Source organism: Homo sapiens, chromosome 8, assembly GCF_000001405.40.
Source record: "Homo sapiens chromosome 8, GRCh38.p14 Primary Assembly".
NCBI lineage: Eukaryota > Metazoa > Chordata > Mammalia > Primates > Hominidae > Homo > Homo sapiens.
Window position 1 is genome coordinate 76,979,446 of NC_000008.11, and position 22,305 is coordinate 77,001,750.

General features: G+C 38.5%; 1 protein-coding gene across 4 annotated transcripts, besides 1 other annotated feature; it reads right to left on the bottom strand.

Moving 5' to 3' along the window:
• On the bottom strand, positions 813–21,599 carry PEX2 (peroxisomal biogenesis factor 2). 4 transcript variants are annotated; one of them, NM_001172086.2, is made up of 5 exons: positions 21,438–21,599; positions 20,545–20,687; positions 8,862–8,893; positions 6,742–6,851; positions 813–4,750 (listed from the first exon to the last, which is right to left on the bottom strand). In NM_001172086.2, exon 5 carries the CDS (start codon positions 4,731–4,733, stop codon positions 3,816–3,818), a length of 918 nt encoding a protein of 305 aa, NP_001165557.2. In that variant the 5' UTR covers positions 4,734–4,750; positions 6,742–6,851; positions 8,862–8,893; positions 20,545–20,687; positions 21,438–21,599; the 3' UTR covers positions 813–3,815. The 4 variants fall into 4 exon arrangements, with proteins under 4 accessions (NP_001165557.2, NP_000309.2, NP_001165558.2 ...); NM_000318.3 differs by lacking the exon at positions 21,438–21,599 and having other exon boundaries at positions 20,545–20,633; NM_001172087.2 differs by lacking the exons at positions 6,742–6,851; positions 8,862–8,893.
• Positions 20,628–20,922: an enhancer, noted in NCBI's record as "tiled region #11833; HepG2 Activating DNase unmatched - State 1:Tss, and K562 Activating DNase matched - State 1:Tss". NCBI's record gives its function as "activates a minimal TATA promoter and a strong SV40 promoter by Sharpr-MPRA in HepG2 and K562 cells {active_cell/tissue: HepG2 | K562}" and the evidence as "EXISTENCE:reporter gene assay evidence [ECO:0000049][PMID:27701403]".

A 22,305-nucleotide genomic window follows, 5' to 3' on the forward strand; every position in this document is an offset into this window, starting at 1 on the left:
CTATATGCAAGAAAAACAAAAAAAAAGGAAACCAGAAAGGAAAAAATGGACAGTATTAGATGTGGTACACACCAAGATATGCCACCTGGCTCCTCCTGCAAGGATGTACATGGTGCCCAGCTGTGGAATGTGGTCAGTGGACTGCCTCCAGCTGTTGGCTCCCACAGGATCTGCTTCCGCTACAGAGCTGCCATGCTTGAGATCACAACCTTCCCAGAGCTGCCCACACCCAGTGACTGACAGAAGTGTAGGTAAAAAGGCCTATTTACTTTGGCCTAATTTAGGACATTCTGACAGATGACACTAGCTCAGAGCTCCCCTCTGGGCTGGCCAACTTTTTTCAGGCCTGCTTTAGAGTACTCTCATTTCTTCTGCCTATTCCTGCTTTGCTCTTTCCCTTCACAGGCATGGATCCCTGAGAGTTATACATAAAAATCTCTTGTACTTCAAACCCCTTTCAACGCCAGCTTCTGCAGAACCCTATCTGCGACCTTAGGTTTATTCAGCTAATAAAATGTTTCTATTGCTACACTAGAACTAAAAGGCTCTGGCTATCTAGTGATGAACAAAATAGTCATGGTCTCTGAACTCATGGGGGTTATCACCTAGTAGGGGTGGCAGATGTTAAATAAAAATGAAAAATAATAAAAACCTATTTTTACTAAGTGCCATTAGGGTCTGTGGAAAAAAACCACCCCCTACCCCAATACTGACAAGTCTATCAGCTGGCATATATGTAAAGTACTGTTTTCTTAAGATTTTGAGAATATGGATAACTACTTAGAAGTTACTCTATCAAAATAATACAATTGTTGATATAACAATTTTGTTGACTTTATTTAATCCTTTCAAATCTGCAATGTTAAAGAATCATCCAGTTACTTATGAATGTCCTTATCAAGCTAGATCACTGGTAAAATGAGACTGCAATGTGGACTTTTGAAATGAGTAAGGCAAATGTAGACTCTAACTAGTAGAGATCTGCCAGCATCCACCCTTCTAAGAACACCTCAGTTTCCTGTGGTGAACGGCCTCCTCCAGGACTCCTTTAGGTTCATGTGGTATATGGGAGGAGCATCACCTACATTTAAGTAACCAGGAACAGTATTTTCCATCCCCTAGCTATAGTGGCTGGTTCAGGAATGTGCACATAATCCAAGGCAGACCAGTAACAGTGAGCTCCTGGACTTTAGCTGTAACTATTAGGCAAGAGTATCTCATGCCAGTGGGATCAGAAAGCTAGCAGATTATAAGCCTTGAGCTTCTAGCGGCCATCATTCTGTGTGAGAATGAAACCGACTCAGAGTAATACTGACAACAGCAAAGGAAAGCACTACTATTATATTCTATTTACTATGTGTCAGGCATTGTTTTAAGAGCTTTATATACACTAAACATGTAATCCTTACAATGAACAGATGTGCAGAGATGTGGCACATTGCCCTAGGTTATACACAAGTGGGATTTGAATTCTAGCGGAATCTGTGTCCCTCATGCCATGTACACTCATCAAAAAAATGAGAGCCAAAGGATAAAGCCTGTCTCAAAGAGAACCATCTGAGCACCTACATCCAGACTGGGCCTGCAGTGTGCAGCTGGACTCTTCACTTAATGAACTCAGATTCAACATTGCATTATTCACAACAGAAAGTGAAAAGAACCTAAATGCTCTATGATGGTGGTTAAATAATAATAGGAATAGGAATATGATGGCATATACATAGCATTTTAAAAATATATTATGGCTGGGTGCAGTGGCTCATGCCTGTAATCCCACAACTTTGGGAGGCCAGGGTAGGAGGACTGCTTGAGCCCAGAAGTTCAAGACCAGCCTGGGCAACAAAGTGAGACCTCATCTCTACAAAAATTAGCCAGGCATGGTGGTATGGGCCTGTGGTCCCAGCAACTTGGGAGGCTCAGATGGGAGGATCGCTTGAGCCCTGGGAGGGAAAGGCTGCGGTTAGCCATGATCACACCACTGCACTCCAACCTGGGTGACTGGGTGAGGCCCTTTCTCACCAAAAACAAACAAACAAACAAAAAACAAAGACGTTTGTATATATTTTTATTTTTTTAGAAACGAACTCAAACTCCTGGGCTCAGCCTCCCTAAGTAGGGAGCCTGGGATTACAGGCATGAGCCATTGTGCTCAGCCCTAAAATAGTTTTGAAGAATATTTATACATAGGAAAAAATGCTATTTTTTATGCATTATAATAATTTTGTAAATAAGAAATGTACGTGCAACAAATCTACAAATATAGTAAAATATAGTGATGATCTCTCTCAAAAAATTGTGGGAAAGTTGATTTTATATTTTTTCCTGAATTGTTGGTGTTTTCTACAATAATGTTTTAAAATTACAGAAGGCAAAAGAAGGCAAATTCTTAAGATGTAAAATACTCTTAACTCAAACTACAAAACTTCTTCAGTATCTTACACTAAATTGAACCTAAATTAAACTTACAGTTCATTCAATCACAGAATGTAAACTCCATGAAGGTAACTTGATTTTTCCTGCTTAATATACTGTTGTGCCTCTAATGGCTACATCAGTACCTGGCACCTGAGTACTTGTTCAATGAAAGGTGAAGAGAAAAATGAACTGGCAGTGTATTTCCATCATACTAGCAAGATGTTTATTTAAAAACATTTAAAAACTGTTTTTTAAAAAACATTCTAGTTAAGACGAGATAATTCAATGTTCAAGCTAATAATTCTATACCATTTTAAGAGTCTGAATTTACTTTTAAGTAAAAAAAGGCAGAGAAAAAGAGTGAAGGATACAGAATTATCTTGATTATGCACTGCTGTTACTATTCCCATGCTAAAGACCCCTTTTGTTTCAATAAAACTATCAATATTTACTGAGAATGACAGCTCTGAATCAAAGGCAAGAGAAAGAGACCTGTAAATAGTGCTGTTCATACTAGTTGCCCCCAGTAGTTCCCAGGCCTCACTTCCAAGCTGCCTTAAGTAATTTTTACTTTCTGAATATAAAGCCAACTGTGGAGGGGTCAGACAGCTGAGGACTGAACTTCTTAAAAATTGGCTTCAGAGAAAAGCATAACATTACAACTGAGGCGGCCAAGCACAGTGGCTCACGTCTGTAATCTCAGCACTTTGGGAGGCTGACGCAGGTGGATCACCAGATCAGGAGATAGAGACCATCCTGGCTAACACAGTGAACCCCATCTCTACTAAAAATACAAAAATTACCCGGGCATGGTGGCATGCACCTGCAGTGCCAGCTACTCGGGAGGCTGAGGCAGGAGAATTGCTTGAACCCGGGAGGCGGACGTTGCAGTGAGCAGAGATCGCGCCACTGCACTCCAGCCTGGGTGACAGAGCAGGACACCGTCTCAGAAAAAAAAAAAAAAGTTACAACTGAGGCATCAGGTCTTAAGGTTTAAAACAGTCTCATAATTGTCACATTATCATATTATGTCAACTCTGAAAATAAATGCACACTCATCCCAGAGTCTCCAAAATCTTTATCTTTAGAATCCAACCTTGTTTTAAGAAGTAGTAAAATGAAGGAGCATTGTTAGTAGTCACCTGACAAAAGCTGTCCATTATTCTTGACATTAAAAATTGAATGCAATGATTTAAAAAACATAATACATTAACATTTACATAATATATTTAGAATCACATGGTTTCCAGTGATTAGATTTCAGTCATGCCTGGAAAGGAGAAGACAGTGGCTAGGAGCACATTCCTTATAAAGGATACATAAATGGTATACTTAGGATGACTAATATTAAGAATTTAAACACGGTGCATTTTTTTCCTCAAAGGAAGCAATTTTAGTTTCTAAAGAGCATTTACTTCTGACATCTCGATTCCTGATTTCAGTGGCTGCAGACTGTGTACTTCTGTGCCACACTTAGGACAAGTAAAGTACACGTCAAATAAGAAACTACTCTTAGCACAGAAATAACAGAAAATATGCTCACATCCTATGGTGTGAGGCATGGTGGGCCACTCTCCACATAGAGCGCATTCTTTGCCACTGGTGGCTAATGTATTGTCACTATTAGGTGCACCAGTAAGAGGAATACACCATGAAGACAGCTTGGCTTTCAACTTCTGGACATTGATAAGTGGTAAGAGAAAAATCAGAAATTCAGCAAAACCATGCCAGAGAAGTTCCCTATTCATGTATTCAAAGCCAACTTCACATATGTTTTGAGGCTTGCAAAATACAGAATGAATACCTAGGAGACGTTCTGTCAAAGTTGCAAACTTTCCCCTCTGAAGGAAAATCAAAAAATTAATCAGCCCACCTAATTTCAAAAGTCCAATCACAAAATTCACACACTGCTTGACTTTCCCAAATGATGCTAAATGATGGTTTCGAAACAAATCATAGCATCGTTCTTCTAACCACCTGCCACCAATTGTACAAACAGCATACCAGATTTTTTGATTTTTACTGGGTGGCTGATATCTCAGGTTAGGGGAAAAATCATTTTTGTACTTAATATTCAAAACTGACTGTCCCACTGTGGCATTTTTGGAGTAGATGGTGAATCTCCACAAGAAAACCCATAAGCACGCTTTCACCTCTGGCTCAAAGCGAGCTAACAGCCCAGGTTTAAATCCATGAAAGCACTGAGTAAACTGGGACCAAACTAGCTGCTCCAGGGCCTTGTTTAGTTCAAGTGCATCCAACTGGCTTATTCTTAGCACTCTGTTTGCACTCTTCGCATTCTCTTTTCTGGAAGCCATGTCTTCTCTGAAGGTCTCTAGGAAAAAATACAATTGAAGAACATTAGCAAAGAGTTGCAATCTTGTACAACCTCCTCAACTTATGCCTGGAAACTGTCATACACAAATTACACAGGACACATAGGCGATGAGCGTTTCAGTAGTCTCAAATAGTACAGCGAATAATCACTTCTTACTTGAAACTTCTGTCTCGTCTCTCAGAGCCTTTCTTTCTCCCCCTGCCTTTTTTTCTTAATTTCTTTTTCTTTTTTCTTGACCCTCTTCATCAAAGAAATAACAACAAAACAAAACAAAACTGTACCCTCTTTCCACAAATATACTTCTAAGCAATACTCTTTGGTCAGATATTCTAGCAGGGAGACATTAAAATCCTGAAGCTAACAGAAAGGAGGCTGAATAACATGACTAATGAAGAGATACAGGAAGGTAATAAATACAACAACTATATAGAACATTGCAATAGATGGTTAAGTCAAGACCTCAGTTTATTTTCCAGCACTACTACTGACTCCAAAGGTGTTATTTTTTCAGCAAGTCATTTAATCTTTCTCAAATACATTTTATATGTGTAAAGGAAGTTAAAAAGAAAACTAAATGAACAATACATGGTTACTATTCTATCACGCTATTGCCGAAAATAAATAGTACTAAATCTTAGTATGAAGGAACAAGAATGCAGAAATATCATTATTAAGGTACTAAAAATGTATATATCACACAGTACTCTAAGAAAACTATGATATAAAAATATATACCACAATAATGCCATAAATAGACTAAGGAAACAAATTGGTGCTAAAGGGAAAAAAATTTAAATGAAATATAAGAAGCTGAATGGTTAGCTAGGTACAGCTTACTGATTCAATACACATATATTATTATAAATATGTATTATGTGCAAGCTGATATAATTAAAACACCAAGTCACTGCCATAATCCAGTATATAGACCAGTTCAGATATTTTAAATATTATTAACTGGCAAATCCACCCATGACAAAAAAAAAAAAAAAATGAGGCTTAAATTTAGTTGCTAAAATGGACCTCAGTATGATCTCATTTATATGTGGATTCTAAAAAAGTCAAACTTATTGAAACAGAGAGTAAAATGGTGGTTGGTAGGGGCTGGGAGGGTGAGAGAAATGGGAGATATTAGTCAAAGGGTGCAAATTTTCAGTTATAAGATGAGTAAGTTCTGAGGAACTCATGTCCAGAATAGCATAGTTAATATGCTCTATTGTTTCTTTGAAATTTGCCAAGAGCAAATCTGAAGTGTCCTCATCACACACATACACACAGGTGGTAAGTAACTACGGGTGGTGATTGATGTAATTAACTTGATTGTGGCAGTCATTTCACAATGGATACATATATGAAATCATTACATTGCACACTTTGAATATATACCATTTTTACTTGCCAATTATACTCCAATAAAGCTAGGGGAAAAAAACACAAAAAAATTAAAATGGGCTATCACCACACCGGGCTTGATTATCATGTCTAGGCCTTTAAAAAGCCAATACCCTAACAGAAAGAATAGTTACTGAGGGAGGCATGGATCCTGCTGGAGCTCACTGCCACGGTCTGGTCACATATTCTTCGACAAGTCATTTCCCCTGACCCTGACCTATGCCTTGGTTTCTTCACATATAAAACAAAGGGCTGGAGATAAAATGACCTTCAAAGTCCTTTCAAATTCTACTCTGTTATGATTTTTAGTAAAAAGATGATAAACACAATTTATTAGAAGGTAAAGTAAACTTGTACTTCTTGAAATTGGGAGTATCTTTGACAACCAAAGTTGTTTTCAAGAGGGAAGTTCTAAATTTACCCATGCATCCTAGAAGACTTAGTGGCAGAAGACTACATGTTTAACAAGTTCAAGTCCAGGAAACAAAAATGATCAATGAATAACAGGTTGTTTGGAGCTATTTTTCTCTCAAACCAGATATACAACAGGAATGCTTCTCACCATAAATGCCAATGATCTTCTGGGGAGATCTCACCTTTTTCCTGTTCCTGCAGCTCCCTCAAGACTGGACAGCCTATAGCTATGACAGTGGGAATTTTTGCTCCAAGTTCTTCTGTGAAATCCTTGCCTCATACTTGCCAGAAGCTACATACAAAAAAGAATAAAGTTTAAAAGGGAGTTCCCTTTCCTCACTCTACAAATCAAATCCATTGCCAAGGACTGTTGGTACGTGGTCCAAAATTTTTCCTAACCCATCTGTCACTCCCTATCCCCCGCAAGCCTTTTCCTGAATTCTGGCTGCTCTCCTCTCTCATGGATTCCATCAAACTGGTCTACCTTACCTTCTGCCTCCTTCAGTGCATTCTCCACACTGCCAGTGTTCTAAAACACAAACCTCCCCAAATCCACTCCCAGCTTGCTTTCCTTCCTTACGCATCACATCCAGTCAAAAAGTACCCCCTTCTCCTGTTCACCAGTAGACTTCACTGTCTGTTCCCTTTGTGTGGAACAGTCCGTTTCCAATCTTTTAACTGAAAACTCATACTAAGATTTTAAGTACTGGCTCAGACATCACTTCCTGCTGACTCCAAATTTGGGTTGCTGCCCATCTAGTTGTTCCCTTGGCACTCTATTCTTTCCCTTTCTTGGCCTCTATGTACTGTACATAAACTACTTTTAAATGGTTTATTTCCTCCACTAGAGGATGAGCCTGTTGTGAAGATTATTTGAGCCTTATCACAGTTGAATCAGAACAACTATCTCAGTTCCTGGTACACAGAAGGCACTCTACAAACACTAGATAAATGAATAAATGAATAGGATGAAAGTCTGGGATGTGTGAAGGATAGAAAATATCAATTCCCATCCATTACCCTTTAAAACTATTTCAAATTACCATATCCAGAAAGATGATTATTACTAATTTCACCATGTTTATTGTGCATCTGTTATTTACCTGTTAATATGAGAGCTAGTGATATAATGGTACAACAGACACTGTTTTCAACCCTTGTGGAGGGTTGTGGAACGAGAGAGAAAAGTAAAGGTGTGCTATATAAAATAAACAGGTGATTACAATAAGGTGCGATCAGTGATATGCAAGGGAAAATTCAGGGCACTATGGTTACAACTATACTTCAGAAGGTCAGAGAAGGCTTCCTGGGAGAGGCAATACCTAAGCAGCCACCTGATATTAGCATGTCAGCCTGGTAAAGGAGGGTAAGAATACTATTGCCAATGGTGAGAAGAGTAGGTACTAAGGACTAGAGGTGCACAGATGAGATAAGGCTGGAAAGAAGCAGGAGACAGGTCCTAAAGGCCCTAGAAGCCAAGCTGAGGAGGCTGTATTTTATGAGGAAGGTAACGGGAAGCCCCCAATAGTGGTACGCAAATAACTAGTAAGATTTACATTTTAGACTACTTGTTCTGGCCACCCTGAGCAAGAATGGAATAGAGGCTGAGAGAAAGACTGGAAGCATAGAGACGAGTTAACAGGTTGTTAAAATGATCTAGTGAGAAACTAATGATGGCCTAAATTAGAAAAGTATCAATGGGGACAGAGAGAAAAGGGTTATCTTTGACAGCGGTGAGGTGGTAGAAGTGACACTATCTGGAGAGAAATAAGCCAAGAAAAACTGACTTAAGTAATTGAGTGATAGTGATCCAAGTCCCTGAAACAAGAAATACACGAGGCAATACAGGTTTGAACAGAAAGAAAATATATACATGCAATTTTAAACATCTGAGGATCCTATGAGACATCTAAGTGGAAAAGTTCAGTAGGCAGTTATGTAAATATGACAGAAAAAATCTGGGTAGAATTTTAGAAGTCTGATGCCCCTCTGGTAAAACTAATCTATTTTAAATCTACTTGATCTACATAAGTGCTAAAATCAAGAAGGCAGTGATTTAAAACAAGATAGATCTTGTCTATTTGTAACACATTCAACTTTCTTTGTAACAACGTAATCTTATTCTGGTAGTTTTTAACTGCTAACAGATATATGTGTCTATGATAAAGATACATATATCTCTGGGCTTTTAATCCTTCTAAACTGTGGTCTTCACCATCACAGTCCTGTGGTCTCTGCTCCTCTAGTCTAGTGGTTTTCAAACTTGTGACTTCATCAGAATCACATAAGAAAACAGGCATACCTCAGAGACACTGCAGGTTAGGTTCCAGACCACTGCAATAAAGCAAATATCACAATAAAGTAAGTTACACAACTTTTTTGGTTTTCCAGTGCATATAAAACTTATATTTTCACTATACTGCAGTCTATTAAGTGTGCAATAGCACTGTGCCTTAAAAACAATGTACATACCTTAATTAAAAATTACTTGATTGCTAAAAAATGCTAACAACCATCTGAGCCTTCAGTGAGTTATAATCTTTTTGATAGTGGAGGGTCCTGCCTTGATGTTGATGCCTGCTGACTGATCAGGGTGATGACTGCTGAAGGCTGGGGTGGTTGTGGCAATATCTTATAACAACAACAAAGTTTGCTGCATGGATTGACTCTTCATCTCATGAAAGATTTCTCTGTAGCATGCGAAGCTTTCTGATAGCATTTTACCAAGAGTAAACCTTCTTTCAAAACTGGAGTCAACAGTCTCAAACCCTGCCATTGCTTTATCAATTAAGTTTATGGGATATTCTAAATCCTTTGCTATCTTTTCAACAATGTTTACAGCATTTCCCCAGGTATAAACTCCATCTCAAGAAACCACTTTCTTTGCTTATCCATAAGAAGCAACTCACTGGGTGCAGTGGCTCATGCCTATAATTCCAGCCCTTTGGGAGGCCAAGGGAGGATTTCTGGGCAACACAGGGAGACACTGTCTCTACAAAAACTAAAAAAAAAAAAAAAAAAAATTAGCCAGGCGTGCTGGCATGCACCTGTAGTCCTAGCTACTAAGGGGAGGCTGACGCAGGAGAGTTGCTTGAGTCCAGGAGATTGAGAGGCTGCAGTGAGCTGACTGTGCTGTTGTTCACCAGCCTGAGTGCCAGAGCATGACCTTCGTTTCAAAAAAAAAAAAAGAGGGGAAGCAAGTCCTTATCAATTCAAGTTCTATTATGAGATTGTAGCAAATCAGTCACATCTTTAGGCTCCACTCTAATTATAGCTCTCTTACTATTTCTATCACATCTGTAGTTACTTCCTCCACTGAAGTCTTGAACTCCTCAAAGTCATCCACAATGGTTAGAATCAACTTCTTACAAACTCCTGTTCATGTTGATATGTTGACCTTCTCTCACGAATCATGTTCTTAATGGTACACAGAATGGCGAATCTTTTCCAGAAGGTTTTCAATTTACTTTGCCCAGATCCATCAGAGAAATTGCTATTGGCAACTACAGGCTTAAGAAATGTAGTTCTTAAAAAAAAAATATAAAAGTCAAAATTACTCCTTGATCCATGGGGTGCAGAATGAATGCTGTGATAGCAGGCATGAAAACATTAATCTCCTTGTACATCTTCGTCAGAGCTCTTGGGTGACTAAGGTGCATATCAATGAGCAGTAATATTTTGAAATAATTTTTTTTGAACAAGTCTCACCTGTGTGCTTAAAATATTCAGTAAACCATGCTGTAAACAGATGTGCTGTCATCCAGGCTTTGTTTTTTTCATTTATAAAGTACAGGCAGAGTAGTTCTAGCATAATTCTTAAGGGTCTTTGAATTTTTAGAATGGTAAATAAGCACTGGCTTCAACTTAAGAGCCACCAGCTACATTAACCCACAACAGGAGAGTCAGCCTGTCCTTTGAAGCTCTGAAGCCACATATTGGCTTCTCCTCTCTAGCTATCAGTGTTACATGGCATTTTCTTCCAATATAAGCCTTTTGTCTATCTTGAAAATATATTGTCTAGCGTAGTCACCTTCATCAATTATTTAGCTAAAGCTTCTGGATAACTTGCTGCAGCTCTGATGTCAGCATTTGCTGCTTCAGCTTTCATGTTTATATCATAAATGGTTATTTCCTTAAATCTCACGAACCAACCTCTGCTAGCTTCCACCTTTTCTTCTGCAGATTCCTCACCTCTTTGTCTTAAAGAATTGAAGAGAGTTAGGAACTTGCTCTGGATTAGGCTTTGGCTTAAAGGAATTTTGTGGCTGGTTTGATCTTCTATCTAGACCACTAAAACTTGTCCCACATCATCAGCAATAAGGCTGTTCACTTTCTTTAATTCATGTGTTCCCTGGAGGATCACTTTTAATTTCCTTCAAGAACTTTTCCTCTGCATTCACAACTTGGCTGTTTGGTATAAAAGGTCTACCTTTTGGCCTGTGTTGGCTTCTGACATGGCTTCCTCACTAAGCTTAGCAAAATCTAGCAAAATCATTGCTAGATTTTGATTTAAAGTGAGAGATGTACAACCCTTCCTTTCACTTGAACACTTAAGAGGCCATTGTAGGCTTATCTTAATTGGCCTAATTTCAACATTGTTGTGTCTTAGGGAATAGGCAAGTCAGCAGAACAGTCAGAACACCCAATATTTGTTAAGTTCACCATCTTATATGGATACAGTTCTTGGTGCCCCAGAATATTTATAAGTTCACCATCTTATATGGATACAGTTCGTGGTGCCCCAGAACAGTTACAATAGTAATAACAAAGATCACTGATCACAGGTCACCACTAAGAATATCATAATAAAAAAAAGTCTGAAATATTGCCAAGAATTACCTAAACGTTACACAGAGACACCAAGTTGAGTAAATGCTGTTGGAAAAAAAATTGTGCAGATAAACTTGATTGACTCGGTTTGCTACAAACCTTTAATTTGTAAAAGCAGTATCTGCAAACCAGAAGAAAGCACAGTAAAATATAACGAGGTGTGAACTAGGCTATACCAAGTAGGTTTGTGTGAGTACACCCTATGATGTTCGCACAATGATGAAATCATCAAACTATGCGTTTCTCAGAATGTACCCCCTTGATAAGCAACTCATAACTGCATCTCTTCCTCAGGTTCCTTAGTGATATTTAGTGAGAAACTGGTCAGAGTGAGTGGTTTGTCAGAAGAATCATCTATTTCAAGTTTCTTGTTTTTGGAGGAATTACACTTAAAAACATTCAGTAAAAACAGGAATTTTTAATGACTGCCAGAAAAGGAGACCTAAAACGGTCTTTAACCAATACAATATTTAACAATATTTATTATCAAAAAATTCTTTCTTATCCCTTCTGTTACAGTTTAACATTTTTTTCTTTCTTCTTTTCCTCCCCAGGCCTGGCCTCAGTGTAGATTAGGAACAGCTGGGTTTGCTCTCCTCCCTACGTAAGACTCTTTAATAGACCAAAAGACTATTATTAAACTGTTCTTCAGCCTTTGCTCCTCCAGATGAATAATTTCTCTCTATTTTTTGTTTTAGGTTTTATTTTCCAACATTTTAGTCATTTTTGTGACTTCTTTTAGTTGTAAACATAGAACAGACACTGTCTATTACACACCATAGTTCATTAAAGTGGAATACTTCTCCCATGCTCTACATTCTTCTTTAGGCATCTGTCACAGAGTGGAAAAAGCAGATTTAAAATCAAACAGGCCTGGGCTCAAGTTCTAGCTCTGTCACTTACTTGCTATGAGATCTTAAAAAACTTCATTAGCCTCGGATTCTTCTCCTAAAAGTTGGAAATAACAGCTACCTCACAAAGTTGTTGAGATTAAACCAGATAATGTTACGAAAGTGGTTTAGAAGCCATAAAGCAGTATTATTTATTACATTATTGTTGCTTTGGCTAGGGATGAGCATGAAAAGTAACAGGCCCCAAACTAATTTTGGCAAATCTCATTTCGAAAGACTGAAACCTTCACTGTTAGTTATAGTAATGCCTCAATCAACCTGTATCAAAATGTTTTTCCAGGAAATATTGACATCATTAAGACATAAATTGTGGCAGTTAAACCACAAACATAATGTCACCCTTATGTGTGCACGTGGGAGGGGCCAGGCAGGAGTGGGCAGAGATATGATGGTTCAGTGGAACTCACTGCCCACTTAACTTGCACCTTGTCTGAAAGGATATGACACAGTGTGGATAGAGAAAAGAGATGGGTTCCCGCATGACCTGCTCCTGTCATTATTTAGCCCCTATCAACATAGTTGTGCCTGTTATCTTGAAGTAAAGAAACCTCATGAATGCACACTTACAATATTTGACTCTAGGGTGCTTTGCTGCACACAACATGGTACAGGCAGTCCAAGACAAGCAACAAACTTGTATTCATCACCAGCATATTACATTCAGTTCTTCCTCATCACACATACTCCCACCCCACTCCTCTCTTTCTGGCAGGTACAGCTATTCTAGAATACTCTCTTTAGAAAAGGGCAGCAAAGGAGTAGAAGAAAATGATGAAATCAAAATAACTAGAAATTCAATTAACCCAATTATGGAATCTTCTTCCCTCTACAGCAGTACAACAAGATTTGTTATAATAGGTATGAAGCATAAATGCCATAAACGACTTTATATCACATAAAATTATTCCCAATATAGTGTAAGCAGTTTGTGTTTTAGTGAATTCTAATTCTCTGACAAATGGTTACTCAATGTAACAAATATATACTGGACACCTATCAAATACAAGGCATTCTCCTAGGTACTAGAGATTCAATCTAAATATTTAACTGTCAGCTAGCTTCCTTTTATTCAAGCATTTTAAAAGACATAGGAAATCAGGACTGGCCATTGATCTCTGAAGTGAAGAATGGATCCCAAAACGTGAAAACATTATAAAAGATCACAAAACTTTCCAGGGAGAAAAGAGGAAAATGGTATGTAAGGCAAGGGAACAGGCTGTGTGAAAGCCCAGAAATAGCAAGCTCCTGACCATAGCCTAGCTGGGACATACGGACATGAGTTGCACCATGAGCTACATCCTTGGTTATTTAACCCCCGTCAATGTGGCTGCATCTGTTATCTGGAAGGAGACAAGTCATCTGTCATGACCAAAGCAGGCTGGCAGGAGAGACTGGCTGAAGTGTCAACCTAGCCACATTGTAAAAAGAACCTGTGTTAAGGAAATTGTATTGATTCTGTAGGCATGAATAATCATTGAAGAGAAGAGACATAATGGGATATAAATTTCAAAAGATTAATCTGACGGCAGAGTTCAATAAAACTGAAGAAAAGAAAAACTGCCGTTCTGGGAGACCAGATTTATAGGATTCCTGCAACAATTCAGGGGCCTACCTATGATGCTAACAACTTCCCTGAAAAGTCAAAGTAATTTAACTTACTTAAGAACCATGGAAATCAAGAGGAAGACTATACTATCCTTTCACATTTTTGGGTCAAAAATTCCCAGTGCTTTTGGTAAACTAGTACTCTCCTTACTTCTGTTACAAGGATTGCCAACACCCATGCCCAACCACTGGTAAGTCTATTTTGACTTTACCTTCAATCATTTAAGTAAGCTTTAACAATTTCTATATTATTGGTCATTGTAAATTAGTATTTAGTTTTATAAATGTAAGCTCAAACTTGAATATTTTTAAAAATTACAAGCTGCTTTTTGTAAAAAGAATTGCTTTGAATTGAACCACCATTAAATTTAATTCTAATAGATTTTTCCTATTCTACCTTTTCATACACAATCCTACCAGCCACCCACTCCTGCAATTCTCGACCTATACTAACTTTAAGATTCCAAAATGCTAACCCAGGGGAGGGGAGAGAGATATTTATTGGCTATGCAAAGAGATATATAAAAATATGTAACTAAAATTATAATTGGCAGTAAATAATCTTAGCATTTAGTGAAGGATTCTACCATGTTAAGGATATGTGAAAAAGATGCTTAAGGCAAAATCAAGACCAGATAAAAAGTATAGCATCTACTAGGGTTCGTGTGATTAACTTGTCACATAAATATGTTTAAGACAAAATGATCTAGTACTAAAAACTATTAAAAGGGTCTCCTGCTGACATTTTATCACTAAACATGTCACACTGCTTTTCTTTCACAGAAAAAGACAACTAAAAATTATTTACTAAGAGCAGCAATATATAACCTTATCCCTTAAATAACTCATGCTTTCCTTTTATGTTTTTCATATCCCAAAATAAAAACTTTGCCATCTATATCACATTCCAAAAACTAAACAAATGACTGTATCTCACTGAGGAAGAAGGAATGTTTCAGGATGTATTTTATAGTTTTATTGAGTATAGTACAAATTATGAATGAATATATTTTCTTTAAAAACATGTTATTGACAGAAATCTATCAATAATAATGTGGGTATTGTCAAGGGCCTGTCAATATTAACGTAATTATGATTAAGGGGATAACATGGATTTTAGCTATAATACCATGTAACATCTCCTACATCGCTGCTATCAATATACACATTATTATTGACCTGTTCCAAGACTCTCAGTATTAGAGGTATTACCATTAGGCATATTTGTCAATGCATACTGTCTACAAAATTCTGCATTTAAATTTACAGTCCTGTAAACTTTGTCAGCAGAAACGTGATTCTCAAGTAATCTCTACTGTGTCATACCCACTCATGCACCCCCTGCCAGGCTATTCTTTTCCATCTCCACAATAATAAACTAAGTTTTAGAATGAAAATGTCACTGCCACACCATCTTAAATGTTCTGGCAATCAAAGTGGATGAGACCACGTTCATTGTTTTCTCTTTCTGAAAATGTTAAACTAGCATTTCATATTATGAGGTTATATGAATAAAATTCTATGACTAGACATCTTAAGTTTTGAACCTATAACCTACTATTTTATTTCCTTTGTGTAGTCAGATAGATTTACTGTCCAATGTATTGAAATCAATACTAATAAATGGGACGTGCATCAAAGAGGGATTTAACTGGACACTGATTCCCAGAACACGTTTCAAATATGGGCAAAAGAAAAAAGGCTATGGCTGAAGCCCATTAGAACACTGTGACCTCTGGCACTGTGAACAGGCCTAACAACTCTTAAGTTCAAATCCCGCTTCTGTCACAGACTTGCTAAGTGCCTTGTCACTACTTTCTCGTTCCTCTCTTTCACCATACATAAACTAAGTTTTAATAGTTTATAGACACCTGATGTTGTAAATCCCAGTTGTGCTCATTTGGGTATAGCCAAGATATGTGAAATTTTAAAACTGTGTTATGTCCAACAGACCTCTAAATTACTTTTAACTTCAATGAACATTGCCTCATCAAAATCCAAATAGGATTTTTCTTTTTGAAGTGGTAGTGGATACATGACAAAACATTTCTAAAATGTATCTGAAAGATAAACTTCAAAGTTGCACATATTTCTCAAAAATATGGACAATGGTAAGTAACCTGCCCTAGAAGAGGGGAAAATATCTTTTTTTTTTTGCATTTAGGGAGAAGAGGAAACTCAACACAACTCAAGATTATATTGAGTCTTACACAATCAACTGAGTGCCTTACTTATCTCATACACAATATAGTTATTCAAGTATCTAAAACTAGCACAAAATACTTTTTTTAAACCTTAGAAAAGAATTTCCAATACTTGGGCCTAGCTTTATAAGTATATTTTTAAGATAACAGCATGGCACTCATATTTTTTTCTTTCAGAAACCTGATACTTCTGAGTCTGAGAATGCTTATTGTGAAAATAAAGAACAGATGTTGGAGCGAGTATTGGGGAAAGCAGAGTTAAACTGCCTCTGATTAGCTCTGTATTCTAGCCCAGGTTCACTAACAGATTGTGTGACTCTAGACAAGTCATTTTATTACACTATACTCTTCATTGGCTAAAAAAAGAAACAAAAAAAAGCAACTGTAAGTTTACCTACCTATCTAGAATCCTTATAGAAACTGCTTTAGGAAATCTTGCAAGGGAAAGGGAAAAAAATGAACAGCTATTTCCAATTGCAAAAGAGCAATACAGGACATGAGGAAAATAGAGAAATCAGAGCAGGACACAGGAGACAGAGACAGTATTCATGGAGAGTAACAGTAAACCACTAAGGAAGACAATCCCAATGAACTTGTTAGTTTACAACCAGAGAAAACACTTAACACCTACCAGTTACTGAGTGCTAACAAGTGACTACTATAGCTAATTACCAAGTACAAATTTAAATATTAAATCATTTAATCCTTATAATACTAATAAAGAGCTTCTGTTATTACTTCTGTTCTAAAACAAGGAAATTGAGGTGCAAAGAGATTAGATGACTTGTGTGAAATCCCATGACCAGAGGGGGCAGAACCAGCTCTAAACCAGCGTCCTATACTGACAACGCGGTAATGGACCCAAAAGTTAAACATAAACACTTTAGGATGGTACCACAGGTCACACAGATGGGGCTACCTTAAAGAGGCCAAGTACTAAGAGTATAGGCACAAACTATGGGAAAAACACTAGTGCGAGTATGAACAGGACACACATGAAATGTATGAGCAGCTAGATGTTTAAATACTCTATAAATAATTTAAAAATGGGCTTTAGAATCTAATTGCTTAAGAATTCTAAATGACTTGAAAATAACTGGAACAAACATTTAATTGCACATTTTATGGTACAAGAGAACACGGAAATATCCCCAAAGGAACAAAGAGCCATTAGCAATGGAATAGGAGGAACTACCATGTGATACATATCATGTACAAGGCACTACAACTTTTCTTTACATTCTTTATTTCATTTAATCCTCACAACACAGTAAGTACAGTATTATCATCTCCATTTTAAGAAGATAAAAATTAAGGCTTGAGAAGATTAACAACCCATCTAAAGTCAAGCTGGTAATAAGTAAATTTATGGTAAACATCAGAAAAACTGTAGAACATACAAAATACACTTAGTAGAATGGACATTTGCTAAGCTTGGATCAAATTTAATCCCACAGAACTCAAAAGAAATCTTTTTCCCCTTCAAGATCATTCAAAAGACCAGACTGCCAGTCAAGCTGTCAGGACTGTAGATGGGGAAAGAAATTAAAGGAATGAGGTAAAGTTTTCCTTGTTGCTTGGGATGTATTTTGTCTATATTCCTTCTCCCTGCTTCACTATACATGTGGTCAAAGGACCATTCAAAGAACCATGTCAAATCTGAACAAAAGGAATAGATGAGTGAAAAACTCAAGGTGTGAACATTAACTATTACGAACACATACATGCAAGGTAGAGGTAATGCCAACTCATTCATCTAACACTAAAAGACAAGTGGGCCGAGGTGGGCAGATCGCCTAAGGTGAGGAGTTCAAGACCAGTCTGGCCAACATGGTGAAACCCTGTCTCTACTAAAAATACAAAAATTAGCCAAGTGTGGTGGTGCACACCTGTAATCCCAGCTACTCGGGAGGCTGAGGTAGGAGAACTGCTTGAACTCGGGAGGCAGAGGTTACAGTGAGCTGAGACTGTGCCACTGCACTCCAGCCTGGGCAACACAGCAAGACTCTGTCTCAAAAAAATGAAAAGACAGTGGTTAGGCATAATCAAAACACCATTACACTTAAGTTCTTGGTTGTTTTACTAGTAAGAAGAAAGAAAAGATAACTTGGATGGAATTTTATCTCATCTTATTGACAGGCAGTAATAAGGGAGATGTCTGATAAAAAGAAAATATATTAAATTGAGTAAGAAGCAACATAGAAGAAGGTATTTTTATTGTATAGATGGGAATATGTTAGGAAGAAGTCTAATATCCCACACGGAGAAAGGCAGAGGACACTAGACATCCCTTCTTTGCCTCCACTTCCATGTAAAGAAACTACAGGGCTGGGTTTAAAAGAGCAGGATTACAGACAGGGCAAATGGAGCAATTTAGGGCTTTTCTCCTGAGGTTTCTTGTACATTCCAAAGGAATAGAAAAGGAACATGAAACATTTACAAACTGTTATCACTTCACAGAAAAGAGGTACAGAGAACATCCAATTTGCTTCTAGGTTGTCCAACTCAGATCATCAAAAGAGGAAAAAATGAAATAATTCAAGAGAGAACTTCTGGCCAGAAATAAAGATTGTGTACATTCACACATTTTCCTTGTGCTATTGGAACCTGAGAATGTGGATGGTGTGCAAGAGGGAAAGAAACTTACAATTATTTGATGTTGTGAGAAAAACATGGGGCTAGGACTGAGCTCTTTTAATGGGTGTGATGATGAGCAAGCCTGCTAATACCTTTAACGTTCAGGTACCAAATATGTAAAATGAAAAATACTTGTCCTCCCTACGGCAAGAATCATTATGTGCATCAAATATAAGCAAAACTTTTATGGCTAAAATAAAAGGATATGGAGAAGAAGGAATAATAAATTCTAATTCTGTTCATAAAGAAAAACATTTCAAATTTGTATTGATAAAATAAATTGAAACAGAATAGGGACATATTTGTAGCTTTTAGAAATAAATTAGCTGTGAATATATTATTTTTAAAAACTGTAATAAATGTACATTGAGTACAAATGAATAATTATCCCAAAAACCAGAATTTTAATGCTAGAAGAAAAGGCAGATCATCTCGTTTAAGACATAAATTTAATCTTCTTAACAAGAACCTTGTTATTCAAGCGGAACACCTAAATGGCTGCTCTTGTTAAAATAAACCTGAGGGTGGGCTTGCTTTGTCTCTCCCTGCACGGCTCCAGAAAATTTCTACACAAGTTCTCCTATGGAACAGTTTTAAAACCCCAGCTTGAGTACTAACACTAGTTTCTAAAAATAAGGAGAATACGGCCAAGAGGTAAAATTGTACAAAGGCAACTAGAGTCAGGACTAGAATCCAACTGTCTTGATTTAGTCTAATACTCTTCAGTCTACTAGTCTAGTATTCGCTCTATGTCCTGTTACTTCTATTTTTTTTTTTAAGAAAAAAATATGAAGGGTTTTTTTTTTTGACTCTGTAAATAATTCTTTCAAATCTCTTTCTGGCTCAAGATCACTCAACTGTAATCTTTCTGGAAACAAGTAATTGATAATATAGGTGAGATCAGATAAGTTAAAAGAGCCACCCCAAGTTCATTCTGTTCAGGATTAAGTAAAGGTAACACTTTAGGGGAAGGTGTTTAGACTACAAGCTGCGGTGTTGTGAGCGCCCAAGTATCATTTAATTGTCCGAAACGTCAAGATAAAATATTTCCGAGGGGCATCACGGAAGTTTAACAGAATGTGTTAGACTTGAACGTTCAACAGCTTGCTCATTTTGCCAAAAGCCCTTTCACTAAATGTGGGAAATTTGGAAAATGGTACCTCAATAAATAAACAAACAACGATTTTTAATTTAAGAACCCAGGAAAAAATGTTAACAATTCTCACATTCAGATTTCTTATCAAAAGTCAACGTGAAATATAACTAATTTATCGCAAGCAATTTTATCAGAAACTTTTCATTATCTCTTCCTCCATAAGAAAACCAAACTGCATTTACGTGCGCTTTCAACAGTGTTAGAAAACTAAGCACTCAAATTTTTTGTACTACATATAACACTTTACATGAACTTTCAGATATTAAGTAAAGTTTGGATCCTCAATTCTTTATAAAGCCGTTTATAAGAGGTAAATATCTTCACGACCGCCAAATGAGAGAAAAAGATTTCGAAGTTCGTCTCTTAAGTTACTACGTGGAATGCAGAGGGGCTCAACTGCAGCTGTGTGTGTGTTTATTTTTAATGCCGCGATCCTAAAAACATCTTTAGGAGTTTAGGTTTGCTTCACTGCCTTTCCCAAAATTCAGCAGCTTTGATTTGCCTTTTCCAGGGAGACAGGAAGCCAATAAACAGGGAAAAAAAAGCAAACGGCGACAATTACAAGGTCGTGAAACTCCACGACCTCCCAGCTGAAAACAAGACCTCGGGTTTGCACTCCGGCTCTCTAGGGCAGACACTGACCTTAGGAGTCTGCGAAACGCCCACGCTCCACGTAACTTTCTCTGAAACATTCTCTGGAAAGCTTGTCTTTTCCTAGCCGAATCTGGATTACCAAGGCTTCCGGAACTCGCAGGCTTCCGGAGCGACGCAGGAGCCGGAAGTGGCTGAAAAAAAAAAGAAAAAGTTACACCAACGAGAACTGCGCTTTAGCGGCGCTGCTGAAGGCACTGGATGGCCAAACAACCGCGAACGCCGACAAGCCGAAGAGCCGAAGGGCCGAAAAGCCGAAGCGGACACCCGCGCGCGGTGATTGGCCGGTTGGCCGGAAGAACTCTGTCTCTGATTGGCAGGAGAGTCACGAACCGGTCAGCCCCGGGTCAGGGGCCGCAAGTGAGGACACTACAAGTGTCGAGGGGCCTAGGGGAAGCCGGGGCTTGGGAGGGCAGGGCTTTCTCTGCTTGCGGACATCGCGAAGGGCCTCTGGCAGGCGCCGCCGGGTGGCGGCGAGACGCCTCCGCGCCTCCGGGGTTCCTTGTTCGCTGTCGGAGGAGGACCGGCTGAGGGATGGCCTGGTGGGGAGGGAGCCCTCGGGCAGGTGGCTGCGTCGGGCCTGGGGCAGTTGTGCTGCGCTTGGAGACCTGCCCGCCCTCGGGGCCTGTGTGCACAGGGAGGATAGGCTGTTTATCTCTGCAGGCTCAGGAAGGCAGGTAGCTGGCCCGTCAGTCATCCGCCCTGCAAAGCGCTCCCGAGAGACCCCGTAGAGCGGGCCAGCGCGCGCCTGGCCTGAGGTTTCCCGCCCCCGGAGGCCCTCACATCTCCCCGGTAACGCTTAGGAATTCGGGCAGCCAGCTCGCCTACCCCTGGGGAATCGAGGCAGAGCTTCTGGGAATGGGGTCTGAGGGAAGAGTGCTCACCAGGCAGTGACATGTAGCCGTTGAGGATCGCCACTGCCTTCTCGTTCTGTGGTATGAATGGCAGTGTCTCTCTAGAGAGTTAGTGCTTAAGTTTGAATGATGGCAGGCACTTCAGGATTCCAGCACGTAGTAGGGTTTAAGAACGTCTTAGTTCTTACCTCCAGTCTCGACTCACCGTTCCTACAAGGAACACTCACTTCTACGAAAGCTCTATTAGACATTCGAGGGAGAGCTTATACTGTAGAACCAGTGTTATTAGGAAAGTTTTTTTTTTTTTGCTTGTATTTTTATTTCAGAAACTACCCATGGAGCAGAGTTGCTAAAATAAAATTTATTAACTCTAATGCTATCCAAATTGTGAAACAATGGTACAAATGAGATAGAGTAGAAGCTACAAATTGATAGAGTATGTAGTTCACTTAGGGGTTTGGGAGTGGATTTTCTAGAGCTGCAACTGTCCAGTGTAGTAGTCACTGGCCACCTGAAAAGTGGCTAGTCTGAACTGAGGTCTGCTCTAAGTGTAGAACATGCACCAGATTTCTAAAGCGTGGTCTGAAAAGAAAAAGAATGTAAAGTATTTCATTAATTTTATATTGCTTACATGTCAAAATGAGAATGTTTTGGAAAATTTTAAATTACGTGGCTTCCATTATATTTCTATGGATACTGCTGTTCTAGAGAGTAAAAAAATCTCACTGAAGAAGAGTAGGCCTTTCGTTTAGCAACTGTGAAGAAAACCAACCACGCTGCACCTCTCAGGTAGCCTACAGATGTGCTGTGCTTCACTTAATTTTTGAGAGGGACGGGGGAAAATACACACAAAGACTTGATTGACATAGAGGACATTTTCAGAAAGCAAATTCTGGTT

Coding starts and splice junctions, on each gene's coding strand:
- PEX2 (NM_001172087.2), bottom strand. CDS start 4,733: ATGGCTTCCAGAAAAGAGAATGCGAAGAGTGCAAACAGAGTGCTAAGA.